The 12,337-nt window shown below is 45.6% G+C and overlaps 1 long non-coding RNA gene and 1 pseudogene across 1 annotated transcript in view; one reads left to right on the plus strand and one right to left on the minus strand.

The window, feature by feature from the left end:
- LOC105379311 (uncharacterized) overlaps positions 1-12,337 on the plus strand; it is a 45,659-nt gene that overhangs the window by 32,911 nt on the left and 411 nt on the right. Inside the window, exons 2-3 of the long non-coding RNA NR_188140.1 lie at positions 5,526-6,669; positions 8,514-8,569. This is a non-coding gene — a long non-coding RNA (uncharacterized LOC105379311). The remainder of the gene's footprint in view (positions 1-5,525; positions 6,670-8,513; positions 8,570-12,337) is intronic.
- On the minus strand, positions 1,227-1,548 carry RPL30P9 (ribosomal protein L30 pseudogene 9; annotated as a pseudogene).

Consider the following 12,337-nt stretch of genomic DNA (forward strand, 5'->3'; position numbering starts at 1 on the left):
CTGCAGCCTCTTCACCAGTCTGCCTGTCTCCTGCTGCCCCCTTCATCTACACTTCATGGCCCTGGCCAATCATCTTCCTGGACGACTGCCTCTATATGCTCCCTTCCCTTCTACCAGTAGGATGAAAGCCAGCTTCCTCTGACCCATTAGAGACTCTGAGGGTCCCTTAACCCAGACCCAGCCACCTCTTGCTCCTTAGCTTTCTTTTCTGCTCAACCTGACACTTCCGTCCTGGTGGCTTTTCACCCTGCCATTCCTCCCCCTTCTCTGTCCGTGGCCTGAATGTCCCTAGCATACCTGTGCTTTCCTCAACATGCCTGCTTCTGTCTTTCCCAAGATGCATTCCCTTTCAGTCAGATGCCCGACTTAAACCCAGTCCCTTCTAAGGAGTACAGCCCAAACTCTGGCTTCCACAGCACTTTCCTGGGCCCACTTCTTCCCTTTAACTGTTTCAGAAACATTTCGCTCTTTCTCACTTCAATCAGTCTCCTGCAATTATCAACCTTGATAATGCTAGGAGCTGAATGCTTCTGTCCCCCACTTGCCAAGTTTGTATATTGAAGCATTAACACCCAAGGGGATGATATTTGGAGATGGGTCCTCTGGGAGATGATTAGGATTAAATGAGTTCAGGAGGATGAGACCCTGGTCTGGTGGACTTAGTGCCCTTAGAAGAAGGGATATCAGAGAGCTTTCTCTCTCCCTTTCTCCAGGAGCGTATACTAAAGAAAGTCCACAGGAGAAGGTGGAGTGATAGCAGCCATCTGCAGGCCAGAAAGGGGGCCCTTGCCAAAACCCAGCCACGCTGGCACCTTGCTCTCAGCCTTCCAGCCTCCAGAATGTAGGCCATCCAATCTATAGGTTTTTGTTTTGTTTTGTTTTGAAGACAGAGTCTCATTATGTTACCCAGGCTGGAGTGCAGTGGCACTCTCGGCTCACTGCAACCTCCGCCTCCCAGGTTCAAACAATTCTCCTGCCTCAGCCTCCTGAGTAGCTGGGATTACAGCACTTGCCGCCACCATGCCTGGCTAATATTTTTGTATTTTTAGTAGAGATGGGGTTTCACCATGTTGGCCAGGCTGGTCTCGAACTCCTGACCTCGTGATCCGCCTGCCTTGGCCTCCCAAAGTACTGGGATTACAGACGTGAGCCACTGTGCCCAGCCTATTCTGTTTTCTTAAAAAATAAGCTCTAGCAAGGTTTTTTCGAGAAAAACTTGTCATGGTCTACCTTTCACCAGTCTGTTCTGGCACACCACTGATGATACTACGATCGCCCTGATCAATGGTAGCCAGTATGCCTACTCTGTAGTATTTTCCACATGCTGTGCCTGATTGGATATTATTGCTACCTTAGTGATGGAAAAGTTTTGGCCAACATCATGTTGTCGTCTATTTTCTATTTCCTTGAAGTTGGGCAGCTGTTAGCAGGCATGGCCTGTTTCGCTTTGCCTCACCTGATCATCTCTGGAGTCTGCTTACATCCCAGAACAGATTTTCTACTTTTCATGTGTTATAATCAAGAGTTGATGCATTCCAGTGAGTTTTTCTACAAAGCAAACATTAAGCACAGACCTGAAGGCCTCTTTTGCCACCACCTCAAAACTATGTCCATGGTAAAGGGAATTTGAGGAGATATAAAATTAAAAACAAAAACAAAATAACTGGATCTAGCTTTCTGAAGCCAAGCCCATTAATAAAACCTCCCCAAGTCATTGAGAGGGCCTCTGGGGTCCCTTGGGGCCCTGCAAATGCCAGTGGCCATGCTGTCACCTCAGTAGGCTTGCATCTGCCCACTCCTGCTGAGACTCATCTCTCCACGTGAATCCCAGGCTATGGTATTTTGTTATGGCAGCCTGAGCTGACTAAAGCAGATAATATTTCAAGTCTTTTGCTAAGTAACTTCTTTTTCTCTTGTTTTACTCTCTAATTCCCGACAGGATAGTGCCCTCTCCTGGAGAGCAAGGTCGTACCCACCTTAGCATCCTTCCCAGGAACTGACACTCAAATAGGGATTTGTCTCATTCAATCCAGTTCAGCATTTCAGACCAGTTGAGGAAAGGCCTGTCTACATTTGTGAGAAAGTATGTTTCTGAATATAATTCAAGAGATCTAGTTTTATATTTTTAAAATTGTATTCTAACTAAAATCATTTTCTAAACGTATCATTTGAGAGAACTCCTTTTGAGTCTTTAACGTATAAATAGAAATTGTTGACTTAGTTGGATTTTAATGGGTTTTTCTTACTCTTGACAATGCTTACGTGGGCTTTTCATGCCTCTGAAGTATTCTGAATCTCCAACCTGCCATCGTGTTTACATTACATTACATTCAGTGTTGAATCAAGTTTGGCCTAAAGCTACCTCCTTACGTATTTTATGATCAGCCTAAAGGTTTCTCTATACATCATGAATTATAACCTAAATGGAGGTGTAAACAGACTGTAGCCTACTTTGTGCCTGTCACTGAGTTTCGGCCAATCAAACGTGGCCATCTATTCAAAGTGTGCAAATAAGGCAAGCGCCAAGCTGTAACGAATCCACCTGTTTGTTCCTCACATCTGTTCTCTTTAAGTCACTTTCCTTCTTCTGTCCATAAATCTTCTTCCACCACGTGGCTGTGCTGGAGTCTCTGAGTCTATTCTGGCTCCAGAGGCTGCCCGATTCTCGAATTATTCTTTGCTCAATTAAAACTCTTTTAATACGTCTGCTGTTTTTAACAACAGCAAGAACCACACTTCCTTTATAACCAATCATAAATCAATTCATCCTTCATCTGATCCACTGTGATTTCTCAGGAAATTAAAACAGAATTAGTGAGGTTTAACAATATGTGTATTTTACAGAACAAGTTTTCTTCTCCAATCAGTTCACATCTGCAAAACTTTATCTTTTCTTAGCATGCTTACTACAACATGGGAAAGAAAAACACCCCAAAAAAGTTGAGGGCTGGTTTTCCACTCCTCCCCTCCATCCGAGATGGGATGTTGACTCTGTCTCTGAAATTTATAGCAACACAGCTCTAATAGCACAGATAAGGAAAGGCCTGGCTTCTTAGGAACTCACTGTACCTCCACTTAGAAATTTACGTGGCCCAGAGATCACAGCAGCTGATGAAAAGAAGGGTGTGAGATTGTTAGACAGGATACCTAACTCACTGGGGCTGCTGTGTCCTCATCGGGAAAAAGAATCACAATGCATTTCCTGTCCTCAAGTGGATGTTAGTTTGTTATCTACAGGAAGCACTCAGCAAAGCTTCTTAGATTATTGAAGAAGCAGCTGAAGAAGTCCTTATAACTATACTCTGAACAGCACGGTCTATTAAGCCTGAGGCCCTCTGCCTGGTTGGGAGGACTCTTCCATTTCTCCTGCTCGATGGCAGTGGCTGCTTCCTCCAGCAATTCTCTTTCCTGACTCACCCTCTCCGACAGATGCTCCCTACTACCCGCAGACTGGTCTCAGGTGTGTTTGCTCCATAGACTGGCCTTAGGTGTGTTTGTGTCCACAATCCTTGTTCAGAAACATTTTATGGTACCTGAAGTATCCACACTATTAATTCCAAACATCTTCAAAATGGTATTCAAAGCCCTTCACACTCTCGCTGCTTCTAAATGTTCCAGCCTTCTCTCTCATTACAACTTCCCAAGGATGTGATTCATAACCCCCGTGGGTCTGGACCTACGCTAGTGTCTCCTACCTTTGCTCAAACTATTCTCCTTCCACATGGCCTCATTTTTTACCAGTTTGGCCAGTGCTGTGTTGAGCCATGTTGGAGTCCAAGCAAAAGGAAAGATACACACCCCCATATGCACTTCTCACACTGCTAATAAAGACATACCTGAGATTGGGTAATTTATAAAGGAAAGAGGTTTAAAGGACTCACAGTTCCACACGGCTTGGGAGGCCTCACAAATCATGGTGGAAGGCAAATGAGGAGCAAAGTCACATCTTACATGGTGGCAGGCAAGTGAGAACTTGTGCAGGGGAACTCCCATTTATAAAACTATCAGATCTCGTGAGACTTATTCACCACCATGAGAACAGTATGGGAGAAACCACCCTGATGTTTCAATTATCTCCACCTTGCCTCACTCTTGACAGGTGGGGATTATTACAGTTCAAGGTGAGATTTGGGTGGAGACACAGCCAAACCATATCAAGTGTAAAAGCTAATAAAAGCTCTACAGTTTTAAAAAATGACTATATATAAACCTCTAGGTTGCCCAATCTGCTCACAGGTTGCTGACAACCCTTATAAAGGCTCCTGGTAGGGAACTAGGAACCAAGAGCTGATTAAAAAGAATAGTTTCCTTGTATGAGAAGGCAGGCTCATTCAAAACATCCTGGACTTATTGAAATAATGGATGTTCTATTACTTGTGGGGTTTTTTGCATTTATTTTGATTTTAAAATATTTCATTAACGTATTATTAATCTTGATTACTGAAGTTTTTTTTGGCACTCCTGTACATGCTGTAACCCAGTCAAGTGTCCCACTCATTTTACCCTAATCCCCACCTTCAGTCTGGTAAAAGTCTGTGAGATCCCTGTTTCAATGCCGTTTCCTCTAATGAGCTTTACCCGAGCTCCCTAAATGAAATAGATCTCTCCCTGTCTTCTACTTCCATAGCACACTGCTTGGGTCTCTGTCTTGGTCGTAACTACTCTGCCCTTTAACAGGTTATTTATGTAGGTCTTACTCTCTTACCAGCCTGAAGCTCCTGGAAGGCAGAATTCACACCTTTTTCTTTTCTTCTCTTCTCTTTTTTTGAGACAGAGTCTTGCTCTGTCACCCAGGCTGGAGTTCAGTGACACAATCTCAGCTCACTGCTACCTCCACCTCCCAGGCTCAAACAATTCTCATGCCTCAGTCTACCAAGTAGATGGGATTACAGGCGAGTGCCACAACGCCCAGCTAATTTTTGAATTTTTAGTAGAGACAGGGTTTCACCATGTTGGCCAGGCCAGTCTTGAACTCCTGGCCTCATGTGACCTGCCTGTCTTGGCCTCCCAAAGTGCTGGGATTATAGGAATGAGCCAGCGTGCCCATCCCCACATTTTCCATTTCTGTATTCCTTGCTGTATTTAACACAGGGCTCTGCACACATAATTTTTCAATGACAAGTCTTGGCTTGATTAAATGATAACTCTAAACCTCTTCCCTGGAATCTCACTCAGGTGTTATTTACTGTAAAGCAGGACTTAATATAAGTTATTCTATTGCAACTGTGGGGAGTTTCACTCCTGAAGCTCTAAGGATACTGGTTTCATTATACAGAGGCCAAGGCGTAGTCCACTGAAACCCCTCCTGATGACTTCCTAATCTTCTCCTTTAGTGTCTCTTACAAATGGGCCTCCTCCCATTTTCCCTGATTAGATCAATGAGGGCTTCTCCCACAGTGAGGGCTGACTAAATTCTTTACTCTCCCTGCTGTAGAACTAGAACTAGACATTGGGTCAAATGCTCTAAATGTGTTTCATATTTATGTGTATACTTGACTGTTTTCCATCAATCTACCTCTCTCCAGGAAATGCCTCTTGAATGGGAGAAGCTGCTGCTCCCCCAAATTGCTGGGGAAGAAAGGGAGTTCCTGATCTTTCTTATTGAGGCTCATGGAGCTTCTGTCCTGGAGATTCAGTATACTTCAGTAATGGCTCTGGAGAAGAGAACTCAGGATCCTCAAGACCCAATGGCTCGTGATGATAAAAGCCTTTGGGTCTACCGACATTTTCCCTACGTGCTCAGACATGTCTGCATGCATTTATTGGCATATTTTTCCATACTCAAAGCAAGTTGCTATGTGTTAGTACTAAAGCAACCCATAATAGTAAAAACGAATTTCTGCACCAAGAGAATGAATCGGCAGCTGAGAAAGTCAGAGTGAAGAGGCCCCAGTAATATCTCTACCTACTTGAAGGTTAAATATTCCTAAGACTCTAGGAGGAAAGAGGAGAGAAAGTGGGCCCTGTTCTTTCCTCCAGGATGTAAGGTTTTTCCAGGCTGCTTTGAAAAGTCTCAATTACTCCAGGCTATAGAAGAATACAATCAGAGGTGAGTTCCCTGAAATCAAGGACACTGCCTTATCTAATGGTGCTGGGAGTGCAGCGAACTTGCTGGGGACAGTTTGAAGGATCATCTTAAGCTCTGAAACCAGGTTGCTGCCACCTGCTACAGATCACCCACAGCCAATGTCCTTGGCTGAGTGACACAGCTTCCCCGTGACCGCCACTGATCCAGCCACCAAGTATGCAGCCCAACCTATGAAGCTGAGCCCAGAAGTGGCTCAAAAAAACAAGCCACAACCCAGAACTGAATCACAACAGCCTTTTCCTTTAACACTATACTTGCTCTATTTAACCTCCGCCATGGCCAATTCAATAGATTCACAGAAAATATCAGCAGGACGCCTTGGTTCTCAACACCAAGTCTGGAAAGCTGGGTTTACACGCCCCACCTGAGCAAGCCTGATCGGTGATTGTGTTGGGCTCATTCCTCACTTGGCCCCTTCAAGCAGAGATAGGCCCTGCAAGAACTCTCTCTAGGAATTGTTTTCTCAATATTTTAAAATCCACTTTTCCTATATCCTATCAATGGGCACGGAGTGAGAGTGATACAGGCATGTGGAATTTCACAAGGCTAGATGTGCCAGCTTCAAGACTACTGAGCTTTAGGTATACACTTGTTATGGTTTGGATTTGTGTCCCCACCTAAATCTCATGTCGAATCGTAATCTCCAAAGTTGGAGAAGGGCCCTGGTGGGAGATGATTGGATCAGGGGGGCAGATTTCCCCTTTCCTGTTCTCATGATAGTGAGTGAGTTCTCATGAGATCCGGTTGTTTAAAAGGGTGTAGCACCTCCCCCTTCTCTCTCTTCCCCCTGCTCTGGCCATGTAAGACGTGCCTGCTTCCCCTTCACCTTCCACCATGATTGTAAGTTTCCTGAGGCCTCCCCAGCCATGCTTCCTGTATAGCCTACAATAGAGTAAGCCAATTCAACCTCTTTTATTTATAAATTACCCAGTCTCAGGTATTTCTTTATAACAGTGCAAGAATGGACTAATACAACAACACCGAAACACACATGCCAGCCAGTATTCACCCTGTCCTGTCCTCAACATGGTGACCTACCAGTATCACTCCTTCCAAGCCCATTTCCATTGCTCCTTCATGTTCTTCTTTGCCTCTTGAGTAAACAAGTCAAATCTATCCATTCATATCCCCACGTATTCACTTGCTTATCCAACATTTTCTGAGCACCTTCTCTGTCCAAGCCACTGGCCAGGTGCTATGGGGGTTGGGGGGCTCAGAGATGACTCTCAGAGCAGGAGAGAGCCCTGCTAACTCATCTCCCTCCCCATCTGCTCCCTGCATAACCAGCATTTTGGAAGCTCAGACCTCGCTACACCCTTAGCCCTAGCCACAATGACCTGGATGAACCAAAATCAAATTCTTCAATAGGGAAAGATTTAGAGACCTTGTCCTCTTAGAGAAGGTAAAAGCAATGTTCCTAAAATCAACAGTATGGTGTTTCAGTTAGAAAAATAAAAGTTCAGGTTAGCCAAATATTGCTGGGTACCAGGAAATCTGTGCAGGCAGAGAAATTGTCTGCCGTGCCTGTGCCAAGATAATCTTCTGTCCAATCTTCTGGGAGGTCAGGGCGGGCCAATGCACTGACTCACCAGGGAGGGCTTTCTAAGAAAGAAGGCTGGCCAGGAATCTTCTAGGGGGAAATATGCTGTTTTTATTGTGTCTGGTCTCCCCAGCTCCCTCCTAAATCTGTTGAATGAGGGAGTTCATCTGCTGGGTGTTTGAGAGCTCAAACTGTCCAACATTGTAGTAAACATCAGGCAAAGGGCAGTAAACAGAGGCTCCCTGTCCCAGCTGGGAGGAGCCCAGATATTGATGAGCACAGCGGACAGCCACAGACACACAGAAACACAAAAACAAGTGCCAGGAGCAGTGGCTCACGCCTGTAATCCCAGCACTTTGGGAGGCCAAGGCGGGCAGATCACCTGAGGTCAGGAGTTCGAAACCAGCCTGACCCACATGGTGAAACCCCGTCTTTACTAAAACTACAAAAAATAGCCGGGCGTGGTAGCTGGTGCCTGTAATCCCAGCTACTCGAGAGGCTGAGGCAAGAGAATCACTTGAACCTGGGAGGCAGAGGTTGCAGTAAGCTGAGATCACACCACTGCACTCCAGCCTGGGCGACAACAGCAAAACTCTGTCTCAAACAAACAAACAACAGCAACAACAACAACAACAACAAAAAACCAAGCAAACACATGCAGGGCTGCCCATAACCTCTGGAAAGAAAGAACTCTCCTGGTCAGGAATCTCCTCTTGGGCATGAGTGTGAAAATAAGGACTCTTGAATTTGCTTGCCACATCAGAGGCAGCATTGCAGGGAGGCCTTTACTTCAGAGGCAGCATTGCAGGGAGGCCTTTACATACGTATGTCATCCAGCCTCATGGCAAAATAGATAATAGATTGTATTACCCTCATTTTCTCCAGGGGAAACCTGAGGCTCAGAGGTCATCTTGCCTACAGTGACTATTTGCAGGACTGAGGTTGGTATACAGGTCTGTCTGACTTCTCCTTGTAGGCTTTCCCAGAAATCAAAGCCTCACACGACCCCCTCCTCTAAGGCATGACAGAACCCAGTTGTCTGTTCAGGCAGGGGGAAGGAGGGGGTGGCCCACCTGGGGGATTTCAGGGGTGCTGCCACCTGGAAAGTAACCCTCAGGAGCTCACCAGCAGTGCCTGGAACTCAGACCAAAATCACTCTCTTGGGTGTTTAAATTGTAAATATGTTTACCTGTATTCAATCTCACCCTGTTTATTGTTTGCTTCTCCTCAGTCCACAAAGCATTCAACACTCACCATTCTAAAAATAATAAAACTGGGCTGGGTGCAGTGGCTCATGCCTGTAATCCCAGCACTTTGGGAGGCTGAGGCAGGTGGATCTCCTAAGGTCAGGCGTTCGAGACCAGCCTGTCCAACATAAAGAAACCCTATCTCTACTGAAAATACAAAATTAGCCGGGCGTGGTGACACATGCCTGTAATCCCACCTACTGGGGAGGCTGAGGCAAGAGAATTGCTTGAACCCAGGAGGCAGAGGTTGCAGTGAGTCGAGATCCCGCCATTGCATTCCAGGCTAGGCAACAAGAGTGAAACTCTGTCTCAAAAAACATAAATAAATAATAAATAATAATAATAAAACTGGCTAGGCATGATGGCTTATGCCTGTAATCTCAGAATTTTGGGAGGCTGAGGCAGGAAGATTGCTTGAGCCCAGGAGTTCAAGACTAGCCTGGAAAACATAGCAAGATCCCACCTCTACAAAAATAAATAAAAATAAATAAATTAGCTGGGTGTGGTTTTGTGCGCCTGTAGTCCCAGCTACTGGGGAGGCTGAGGTGGGAAGATCGCCTGAGTCCAGGAGTTCGAGGCAGCAGTGAGCTGTGATTGCACCACTGCTCTCCAACCTGGGCAACAGAGCACAACCATGTCTCTTAAATAATAATGACAATAATAAAACCAAAAACTTTTCACACCTCTGCCTGCCCCTCTATTTATATTTACAATCTTACCTTTGATGTTCCAACTCTTTGGAAAAGTGGGATCACAGCACCACTGCATTTTCTTATCCTCCTATAACAAGTTCTGGAGTTGCTAAAACAACGTATTCCTAAGGTGCCTAGTAGGTGACTTCTAATTGTCACCTGTAATGGTATCTTTCAGTCTTCTGCTTACATAACTGTTCTGTGGCATTCAGTATCTACAGGCCACCATTTCCTTGAACAGTCTTCTTTCTCACCTTCTGACAAATTCGTTTGTTCTTATTTATTTATAGCATTTTGATGATTCCCCATCTTCTTTACCTGCATGCTAGACTGATCTCCAATTTGCAATCCATCCCTTCTTCTGTTTCTCCCTCTTTACCTCCCTCTCAGCCAAAGATCTCTCTTTAGAAACCATCACCCAAGGTAGAGGAATGAATCTCTATGCTTTGACACCTCCTTCTATTCCTCTTTTCCTCACTCTCCACATTCATTCCTACAAAGTCTTTTTTTGTTTTTGTTTTTGTTTTTGAGACAGAGTCTCACTCTGTTGCCCAGGCTGGAGTGCAGTGGCATGATCTTGGCTCACTGCAACCTCCACCTCCAGGGTTCAAGCGATTCTCGTGCCTCAGCCTCCCAAGTAGCTGGGACTACAGGAACCCGCCACTACGCTTAGCTAATTTTTGTATTTTTAGTAGAGATGGGGTTTCCCCATGTGAGTCAGGCTGGTCTGGAACTCCTGACCTCAAGTGATTCACCCATCTTGGCCTCCCAAAGTGCTGGGATTACAGGCATGAGCCACTGAGCCCAGCCACAAAGTCTTATAAATTCTGCCTTTTAAAATTCATCCTGCCGCCTCCATTAGATCTGCTCATGCCCCCTTTTAGGTCACTTTTAAGTAGAAGGCTCCTAGCTGGTCTTCCTGCTCACAATATTTCCCCAACCTCCACATGGCTGTCAAAGAGATGTTTTAGAAGAACAAATACAGCAAATACAGCCACGTTAAGACATAAATGCAAGTCTGTCTGACTCCTCCTTACTTACTGTAAGTTCAGGTCTGAATGCTTCCTGGCTAGTGTGTAAGCCTCTTTTTTTTTTTTTTTTTTTTTTTTGAGACGGAGTCTCGCTCTGTCGCCCAGGCTGGAGTGCAGTGGCGGGATCTCGGCTCACTGCAAGCTCCGCCTCCCGGGTTCACGCCATTCTCCTGCCTCAGCCTCCCAAGTAGCTGGGACTACAGGCGCCCGCCACTACGCCCGGCTAATTTTTTGTATTTTTAGTAGAGACGGGGTTTCACCGTTTTAGCCGGGATGGTCTCGATCTCCTGACCTCGTGATCCGCCCGCCTCGGCCTCCCAAAGTGCTGGGATTACAGGCGTGAGCCACCGCGCCCGGCCTGTAAGCCTCTTTTTACAGGAATCCGACTGTGCTTTGCCAGACCTGCCTACAGCTGCCACTGCCATTATCTTCCCTCAATACACCCACCATTCCTCCCTGTCTTTACTGCTCAACTCCCATTTAGAAAAAGCTACTCTTGTCTATGCTTCAAGGTCTAGCTCAAATGTCACCTCCTCTGGACAAGTTTCTCCCTTCTACCCTCAGCCCCTTCCCCTAAGAATGGCTGAAGGCTGAGTAGGTCGCTTTGTGCCCCCACCATACTTAAGTCCTCCCACCTCCCAAAGCCCCTCTATTATATGGGGTTGCTGGGCAGGCATAGCCAGGTTTTATCCGACTTTGTTTTTCTAGTAAAGTAACTGAAACATCATAGGTGCGTAATGAATAATCATGATGACCGTAGAAATAAATGAATGAGTGAGTGAGCTACTGAGTTGCAATCATTCTTTCAATGACTTTCAGGAAGGAGGGAGGGAGAGAGACAGGGGCACAGATAGAAGGTAGTTTACTGGGTCACCAGCCAGAGTTCAATGAAGGACCGGGTCAGTTTCATTGGACAGAAGCAGGCTGGTAGCTTAGAACCAGAAAGCTGCCTTGGGAACCCCAGGAGAGGTGAGAAGCCCCGGTGAGCAGAACACAGTTCCGGCAGTGCGAGGGTTGCATCGGGCTCCGGGTGGCCTGTGCATTCCAAACTGAAAGGGGGCAGAAAATTGACCAGAAATACAACATTTCACAATTTTTCCTTGAGCCTTTTTGTAAAGTAAGTTTTGCATGCTTGTAGAAAACTCCCTATACTTAAAAACCTAGATGCCTCTGAGGAGTCAGATTTCAATAGTGTGATAAGGGCTCCTCCTGGTGGATCTACATAAAATGAGAAAAGAATCTTATTATTATTATTATTATTATTCTGAGACAGGGTCTCCCTCTGTCATTCAGGCTGGAGTACAGTGGTGCAATCAGCCTCAACCTCCCAGGCTCAAGCGATCCTCCCACCTCAGCCTCCTGAGTAGCTGGAACTGTAGGCACATACCACCAAACCTGGCTAATTTTTAAAATATTTTGTAGAGACAGGGTCTCACTGTGTTGCCCAGTGTGGTCTCAAACTCCTGGGTCGAAGCAATCCTCCAGTCTTGGTCTCTCAAAGTGCTCAGACTACAGACATGAGCCACCGTGCCTGGCCTAAGAATCTTTCCTAATTCTCTTCCTCTTATCCAGTTATTGGATTTTCTCTATTTTTGTACCTGTGTTAGTTTTCTCTCACTACTGTAACAAATTATGACAAACATAGTAGCCGAAGGCAACACATAATTATGATCTTACTGTTCTGTAGATTAGAAGCCCAAAACCAGTCTTACTGGGCTGAAATCGAGGGGCTGGCAGGG

This window comes from Homo sapiens, chromosome 8 (assembly GCF_000001405.40).
Source record: "Homo sapiens chromosome 8, GRCh38.p14 Primary Assembly".
Taxonomy (NCBI): domain Eukaryota; kingdom Metazoa; phylum Chordata; class Mammalia; order Primates; family Hominidae; genus Homo; species Homo sapiens.